Here is a 9,573-nt window from a genome sequence, read left to right on the forward strand (position 1 = left end):
ACGGCCATCCCGTCTCTACTAAAAATAAAAAAATTAGCCAGGCGTGGTGGCGGGCACCTGTAGTCCCAGCTACTCGGGAGGCTGAGGCAGGAGAATGGCATGAACCCGGGAGGCGGAGCTTGCAGTGAAGCGAGATTGCGCCACTGCAGTCCGGCCTGGCCGACAGAGCAAGACTCCGTCTCAAAAAAAAAAAAAAAAAAAAAAACTTTCCTAATGACCTCTTTGCTTCTAGTCTCGTATTTCAATTAGTTGTAAACACCATGGGAAGAGTAAACTTTCTGATAAATCTTTTCTTTACTTTTATTCTTCTTTCAAAATAGTCAATGCTCAGTTTCCTTTTCTAAACAAAATTTAATTAATTAATTAATTAATTTTGAGATGGAGTCTCTGTCTCCCAGGCTGGAGTGCAGTGGCACGATCTTGGCTCGCTGCAACCTCCGCCTCCCAGGTTCAAGCGATTTTTCTGCCTCAGCCTCCCAAGTAGGTGGGATTACACGTGTGTGCCACCATGCCTGGCTGAGTTTTGTATTTTTAGTAGAGATGGGGTTTCGCCATGTTGGCCAGGGTCGTCTCGAACTCCTGACCTCAGGTGATCCGCCCCTCTTGGCCTCCCAAAGTGTTGAGATTACAGGCATGAGCCACCACACCTGGCCCCTTTATTTCTTTTTAGTTTTTGTTTTTGAGACTAAGTCTCACTCTGTCACCCAGGCTGGAGTGCAGTGGCATGATCTTGGCTCACTTCAACCTCTGCTTCCCAGGTTCAAGCAATTCTCCCACCTCAACCTCCGGAGTAGCTGGGACTGCAGGTGTGTACCACCATGCCCAGCTAATTTTTGTATTATTTGGTAGTGACAGGGTTTCACCACGTTGGCCAGGCTGGTCTTGAACTCCTGGACCTCAAGTGATCTGCCCATTTCGGCCTCCCAAAGTAAGGGGATTACAGGCATGAGCCACCGCGCCCCGCCAGTGCTCAGTTTCAATTCTTTAGTTCATTCCCAGGTTACAAGACACATTTCACAGTGGAATTCAAGGCTTTCCTCCATCTGACCCCAACTGACCTCTTCCATTTTGTCTTTAGCGCCTTCATTTAAAGTCATCCACTCACTAAACATACTAGGCTTTCTGCCTTGGCTCAAATTGTTATACTCTTGAATGTGTTGAACTCTCTCTCGTCTTCTCTGACCATCTTAATTCTTATGTATTCTTGAGAAACTATCTAGTTCAAATTCTTTTCCAGGCTGGGCAAGATGGCTCATGCATATAATCCCAGCACTTTGGGAAGCTGAGGCGGGTGGATTGCTTGAGCTCAGTAGTCCGAGACCAGCCTAGGCAACATGGCAAGACCCCATCTCTACAAAAAAATACAAAAATTAGCCAGGTGTGTGGCTGTACCAGTAGTCCCAGATACTTAGAGGGCTGATGTGGGAGGATCACTTGAGCCTGGGAGATCAAGGCTGCAGTGAGCTGGGATCACACCACTGCCCTCCAGCCTGGGCAACAGAGTGAGAACCTGTCTCAAAAAACAACCAACCAAGCAACCACAAAAAAACACCGCCTGCACAAAAACAACAAATTCCATTTCCATAAGGAGTCATTGACCATCCCAATTCTCATTTATTCACTCATTCAACAAATACATAAAGAGCCTATCATATCCAGCTACTATTAGGCAAGGGAATACAACCATGAAAATGATGTAGTCTCTTCCTTCAAAGGGTCTGCAGTTTCTGGAGGAAAGGTTAATTATAATACAAAAATAAGTGACATGATAAAATACACAGTAATAGCATACAGGAACCCCTATCTCCTATTGGGTGTGGTGAACAGGAAAGTTTTTCCAAGTTCTGAAAGATGAATAGAGTTAGCTGGCAAAGAGGAGACAAGGGTATTTCAAACAGAGGACAAGAACATTATTAGAAGCACCACTGCACTCCAGCCTGAGCGACAGAGCGAGACTCTGTCTCACAAAAAAAAATGATAATAATAAAAAATAATTCATAGGAGGGGGCTAAAAGTCTGGATTTGGATTTTTGACAGTGGAAATGGAAAAGAAAGGAATGAGAATACACATTATAAGGAAGGAGGTTATGAAATTTTGGTTAATTAATGGTCTCTAATGATTAGCATGAGCATGTAGAACTCAATGTTTACTGATTATTTGACACTCTAAAATTCTGGTCCATACCCATAGCAGAAATAAAGGGTGAACAAGATGATGAGTTTAAAAATTCAGCTGTTTTAATAAAGTTCATTGTTAATTTTTTTTAAGAAATGAGGCTTTCAGCCAGGCGTGGTGGTTCACACCTGTAATGCCAGCACTTTGGGAGGCCAAGGTGGGCGGATTGCCTGAGGTCAGGAGTTGCAGACCAGCCTGGCCAACATGGCAAAACCCCGTCTCTACTAAAAATACAAAAAAAAAAAAAAATTAGCTGGGCCTGGTGGCACAGGCCTGTAGTCCCAGCTACTCAGGAGGCTGAGGCAGGAGAATCGCTTGAACCTGGGAGGCAGAGGTTGCAGTGAGCCGAGATTGCACCACAGCACTCCAGCCTGGGCAACGGAGCAAGACTCCATCTCAAAAAAAAAAAAAGGAAATGAGGCTTTCAAAAGTCATCTTGAAACTTTATAGCAAGACCTCATTTCTCCAAAAAAAAAAAAAAAAAAAAAAAAAAACATTACCCAAGTGCAGTGGTGCACACCTGTAGTCCCAGCTACTTAGGATGCTGAGCAGGGAGGATTACTTGAGCTGCAGTGAACTATGATCTCACCACTGCACTCCAGCCTGGGCAAGAGAGGGAGACTTCGTCTTAAAAAAGAAAAGAAAAGAAAAGAACATTTAGATGCCAGGCAAATGTTTTATTAGTACAAGGCCAGAAATGAAAATCTCAGGCAATTTCAAGGCCCAGTTGCAATCTACTGCCACCTACTGGGGAGTCAACTGGAGGCTGGAGGGGAAATGTATACTTTATTAATTATTAATTGCTAAACCTATTATACAAACTTATAGTTAGTTTCATAAGGTCATCTATTCTTTCAGATCTTTACTATAAACTGGAATTGTTGTATCACTACCAGATCATGGGCCCTATAGCTTTATTACTGACTGATCAAGCTTGATGCCTTATCCCATTTTAATTCTACTGCTTAGTGAGTGGTTTTAGGATTTCCTTAGGTTAAGAATTTCTTCACTTCTTAGGTTAAAACAGCAGCCAGGTGCAGTGGCTCATGCCTGTAATCCCAGTACTTTGGGAGGCTGAGGTGGGAGGATCATTTGAGCCCAGGAGTTGGAGACCAGCCTGGGCAACAGGCAACAAAGCAAGACCCCATCTTTACCAAAAGAAAAAAAAAATACACCTGGCACGGTGGCTCACACCTGTAATCCCAACACTTTGGGAGGCTGAGGCAAATGGATCTTGTCAGGTCAGGCATTCGAGACCAGCCTGGCCAACATGGTGAAACACCCTCTCTCCTAAAAATACAAATTTAGCCGGGTGTGGTGATGCAGGCCTATAATCCCAGCTACTCAGGAGGCTGAGGCAGGAGAATCACTTGAATCCGGGAGGCAGAGGTTGCAGTGAGTGAGATCACACCATTGCACTCCAGCCTGGGCGACAGAGTGAGACTCTGTCTCAAAAAAAAAAAAAAAAGAAAAAGGAAAAAAATAGTTATGATGGCATGCGCCTAAGGTGCAGCCTGGGTGACAGAGCAAGACCCTATCAAAAAAACAAACAAACAAAAAAAAAACCCACAGCAAAACTTTGCTAGTTGCTTTTACAAGGATGTTGTAAGAAACACTGGCAACACCAAATGTTGGTGAGGATGTTGGGCAACAGGAACTCTCATTAACTGCTGGTGGAAACACAAAATGGTACAACCATTTTGGAAGACAATTTAGCAGTTTCTTACAAAATTAAACATACTCTTACTACACAATCCAATATTCCATGCTTATTAGTATTTACCCAAAGGAATTGAAAATTCATATCCACATAAAACCTGCAGATGAATGTTTATAGCAGCTTTATTCATAATTGCCAAAACTTGGAAGCAACAGAGATTTTCTTTAGTAGGTGAATGGAAAAATAAACTGTTATATCTAGATAATAGAATATTACTCAAAACTAAAAAGAAAGAAGGTATTAAGCCATAAAAAGACATGGAAAAAACTTTGATTCATATTTCTAAGTAAAATAAGCCAATCTGTAAAGCCTGCATACAGTATGAGTTCAATTATATGACATCCTGAGACACTAATGGCCCTCCTAGACAGGAGGCTCACGAGAGTGGTAGGGCTAAAGCCTAAAACCATGCAATGTCTGGGGTTTCCTCTGCTTTTTCAACTCATCATCTTGTTCACCCTTTATTTCTGTCATTGATATGGACTAGAATTTTAGACTGTCAGATAACCAGTAAACATTGAGTTTCAGGCACTCATGGTAATCATTAGAGACCATTATTTAACCAAAATTTCATAACTTCTTTCCTTTTAAAGTCTCTTCTCATTCCTTTCTTTTCCATTTCCACTGCCAAAATTCAGACTTTTAACCCCCTCCTATGAATTATCTTAATAAATTTTCTAATGAACTCTTTGCTTCTAGTCTCCTCTTCTTTCTTTCACTCTTTTTTTTTTTTTTTTTTTGATACAGGGGCCTCATTGTGTCAGCCAGGCTGTAGTACAAATGGCTTTGAACACCTGGGCTCAAGCTATCCTCCCTCCTTAGCCTCCAGAATAGCCGGGACTATGGGCATGCACCACCATGCCTGGCTAATTTTTTAACTTTTAATTTTGTAAAGACAGGGCCTTGCTATGTTGTCATGGCTATTCTGGAACTCCTGGCCTCAAGGGATCCTCTTGCCTCAACCCCTCAATGTGCTGGGATTACAGGCATGAGCCACTGTGCCTGGCCATCTTTCTTATATTTGTATTTTATTTCTGCAACACTATTGTTGGTTCATTTAAGATCATTATCATATTTTATTTGATTGACATGTCCCACTGAGCTTATAGGAACACTTTGTAAGTAGTTGTTCAATTTAGAATGGTTTGATTACAAGAAACAGAGACCCACTTTGCATCAGTATATAATGCTGTTGATGTCAAACCCAGTTCTTAATAGACAAATCTATCCAATCTTAATCAGTTTGACCATAAAGTAAGATTCTCATAAACATTTTATAATTTTTTACAGTTTTTTTGTTTAAGACCAGATCAATGTTCCAATAAAACTCTGTTGTGCTTTTATCCAAATGTTTAATTTACAGATAAACTGAATAATACCTCTTTACTTTTAGCCAATATGCTTACACAGAATTTCTTTTACAAGATTAATCTTTCACAAACCTTCCACAACTTGCTTAAACCTTTAGCTTTATCCTATCTAACTAAAACAATCATTTAGCCTTATAAACTAGGCAAAAAAATCCACATTCCCATGCCTTCGTATACTCTTTTACCAAAATACATTCTACTTTCCCTACACACGTTGCATGTAAAACTGTTTTTCCAATACTCTCAAGTACATGTTACATTGTTAATGCTTAGCAACTTTTACTTTTGATGAAAAACCCAGTAGGTACTAGATGTGGAGCCTAGGAAACTAGACAGAAGTGCAGATAAGACTCTTTGCAGCATAGCTAGGGGGCATGGCTAATTCTGTATGTCCCCAGGCCTTACCTAGCTTTAAAGCAGGCAAGTTGCACAGTTAAGATTCATAGTAGCAGTTTATGAAGGATTTAGCAGGCCTAATGCCCTTTAAAACTACATTTTAAATAAATTCCCTTTTGCAAATCTCCTCATGACTTACATAGACCATCCATGACATGCCTGGACCCTTTGACATATCCCAAACATCTCCCCCATTTAAACAACTAGTCATTTTACTTTAGGACAAGAATGCATCATACAAGATCCTCTCTCACACAAAATCTCTTTTCTTTATAATGTTCCTTACCAAAAATACCTCTTTACCTTTTAACCTTTAAAGTAGACAAGAGTCATTTTCTGGCCAGGTGCAGTGGCTCACGCCTGTAATCCCAGCACTTTGGGAGGCCAAGGTGGGCAGATCACCTGAGGTCAGGAGTTCAAGACCCAGCCTGGCCAACATGGTGAAACCCCGTCTCTACTAAAAATACAAAAATTAGCCAGGCATGGTGGTGCATGCTTGTAATCCCAGCTACTTGGAAAGCTGAAGCAGGAGAATTGCTTGAACCCAGGAAGCGGAGGCTGCAGTGAGCCGAGATTGTGCCACTGCACCCCAGCCTAGGTGGCAGAGCGAGACTCTGTCTCAAAAAAAAAAAATAGTAATAAGGTTATGGTTTCACTACATGTTGTTGTGCAAGTTCTGTTGTGAAGGGGAGCAGATAAGGAGGTTATCTATATACCATAGAAGTTATCCCCCGCTCAAGAGATTGCTCAGTTAGATTTTTTTTTTCTAGAACTTGTCTGAATAAGTGTGGGCTATTTCTAAACCCTGAAGTAGAACTATCTAGGTTGAAATTATTGGTTAAAGATTTAGGTAGCCTTCCCAGGAGTAATAGGGCTATTAGAGGGAAACATGAATTTAGAGGTCGGGTAAATATTAAGCAAGCACCATCTTGACCCAAAGTGGTGTGAATCTTTTCTTTTGGAGGGAAAGGGCGCCATTTGCCCCCATTACCCAAAAGGATTTGGAGGAGAGTTGCTCAGAGGAGGTTAGCACAGAATAGGCAGCTTTTTTTTTTTTTTTCCTGAGACAGAGTTTCACTCTTGTTGCCCAGGCTGGAGTGCAATGGTGCAATCTCAGCTCATCAAACCTCTGCCTCCCGGGTTCAAGTGATTCTCCTGCCTCAGCCTCTGAGTAGCTGGGATTTCAGGCACGTGCCACCATGCCCAACTAATTTTTGTATTTTTAGTAGAGACGGGGTTTCACCATGTTAGCCAGGCTGGTCTTGAAATCCTGATCTCAGGTGATCCGCCCACCTCGGCCTCCCAAAGTGCTGGGATTGCAGGCGTGAGCCACCACACCTGGCCATAGGCAGCTCTTGAACCCAAAAGAGAAATTTATCATTTTACTTGCTGCCTCCAGAATTTCCCTTGGCTTTCTTTTGTTGATGGTGATGTCTGATGTGCAAGCCAGCCAAAATAGAGAGCCCCTTCAGCTCAAGGTCATCAGGGGTTGGGATTCTGCCCCAGGGACCATTTGGCCCTCAGAGCAGTCCTGTTTCCAGTGCCCGAGCTTGTAGCAGAGGGGGCAAGCCATGTGGGTTTTTTTCCCATTTACCCCATTGGGGCAGTTTGCCTTCTAGTGCCTGGCTTCCTGCACCAATGGCAGTGACCTGGGAGGGTTCTCTGAGGGCAACCTGGAGGGGGCTGGAGAGCTTGTAAAGTGGCCAATAGTTGAGCCTGCCTCTGGTCCCTCCTCTTTTTAGCCCTGTCCTCCTTGTCCTGATCATGGTTATAAAAACTGCGGAGGCAAACTTGAAGATTTCCTGCATAAGGGCATTGGGTTCTAAGGCTGACTTTTGTAATTTTCTCCCAGTCTATTTTTAGGCCAAACAGTATTCCAAAGGAAAATTAGTTTTTTTTATTTTAAGGTTTGGGGGAATCAAACTTTTCCTGGTTTTTGGGAATGCATCTGAGGGGCATGTCCTGTGATATGGAGATGTCACTACCCACCTGCAAAGAGAACAGAGGAGGAAAAAAGGAAAAAAGAAGATGTCCCCTCTTATTTTCCTGTTATCCTGAATAGAATGTCCCCCATTCATCCTTCAGGTTCTGGAATGAACCAGTCTTATTGTGTACTCTTAACCTTGGTCCCATCTCATCACAATTACCCACTTGAGAACAGAGGAGATACTGGAGTGAACAGTGGCCCCCCTGTCCATCCTTAGGGTTCTGGAATGAACCGGTCTTTCCGTGGACCCCTAACCTTGCCTTCATGTCTGTTCTAATGAAAATGTGTTAGCCTGGGACCAACTTTCACCTGTGTCCTATGGGTCTCTTGTTCCTGCAGCCTTGGGCCAACCTATATCCTTGTCTCCATGACCTTATAGTGACTCTCGCTTGGAGGATTTTTTTAACAAAATGATTATCTCTGTCCTCAGATTCCCATTTCCCATGCTCATTAAGTAGACAAGCAGCCTTTTTTTCAGCTAACTGCCAAAGAGGGTTGGACTTCTCTCCCTGCTCCCTTCTAATATGACCTTGGGAAGGGCATGGAAATGATTAGAGAAATGGAATCTACAGGAGGAAGTGGGAGGAAGCGAGAGGAATACTCATGGAAAGCCTTTGTAAAAGGGAAATAAATCCTGGGGCCTCAAAATCACTAAGCTAAAGTGAAAAGTCAAGCTGGGAACTGCTCAGGGCAAACCTGCCTCCCATTCTATTCGAAGTCACCCCTCTGCTCACTGAGATAAATGCATATCTGATTGACTCCTTGGGAAAGGCTAATCAGAAACTCAAAAGGGCTGGGCGCAATAGCTCACACCTGTAATCCCAGCACTTTGGGAGGCCAAGGGAGGTGGATCACTTAAAGTCAGGAGTTCAAGACCAGCCTGGCCAACATGGCGAAACCCCATCTCTACTAAAAATACAAAAATTAGACAGGCATGATGTCATGCACCTGTAATCCCAGCTACTCGGGAGGCTGAGGCAGGAAAATCACTTGAACCCTGGAGGCAGAGGTTGCAGTGAGCCAAGATAACGCCACTGCACTCCAGACTGGGTAACAGAGTGACACCCTGTCCAAAAAAAAGAAAGAAAGAGAGAGAGAAAGGAAAGAAAAAGAAAGAAAGAGAAGAGAAGAGAAGAGAAGAGAAGAGAAGAGAAGAGAAGAGAAGAGAAAAGAAAGAGAAACTCAGAAGAATGCAACCATTTGTCTCTTACCTACCTATGACCTGGAAGCCCCCTCCCTGCTTTGAGTTGTCCTGTCTTTTCCGGACAGAACCAGTGTTCATCTTACATGTGTTGATTGATATCTCATTTCTCCCTAAAATGTATAAAATCAAACTGTGCTCTGACCACCTTGGGCACATGTCAGGACCCCCTGAGGCTGTGTTACGTGCGTGCATTCTCGACCTTGGCAAAATAAACTTTCTAAGTTAACTGAGACCTGTCTCAGATGTTCAGCGTTCACAATAATAATCTAACCTGTTATAGTGCTGCGTATGATTCTTTGTTCTTTTCCTGACTTCTCACCCTACCTTTCTCCTAATTCTCCCCATTTTGACACCTTGGTCTTCTGTTATACATTCATATAAAACTCTAATTTCACACTAAACTGGTTTCATGAACTCTTCAAAACATATTGCAACAGATCAATCAACAAGTATTTATTGTGTGCATACCATGTGCCCAGCAAGGTATATAATCTTTTATAGGCAATGACAGCTACAGATTTGCTTATTTCCTGCACTGAGTGTTACTTAGTTGATAGACCATCTGGCTTCAGTTTTTTGTTTTGTTTTTTTTTTTCTTTTAGTTGCAATGATTGAAAACAATGCTTTAAAATCTATATTCCAGTCAGGCGCAGTGGCTCACACCTGTAATCCCAGCACTTTGGGAGGCCAAAGCAGGCAGATCACCTGAACTGAGGAGTT

This window comes from Homo sapiens, chromosome 8 (genome assembly GCF_000001405.40).
Source record: "Homo sapiens chromosome 8, GRCh38.p14 Primary Assembly".
NCBI classification, from domain to species: Eukaryota; Metazoa; Chordata; class Mammalia; order Primates; family Hominidae; genus Homo; species Homo sapiens.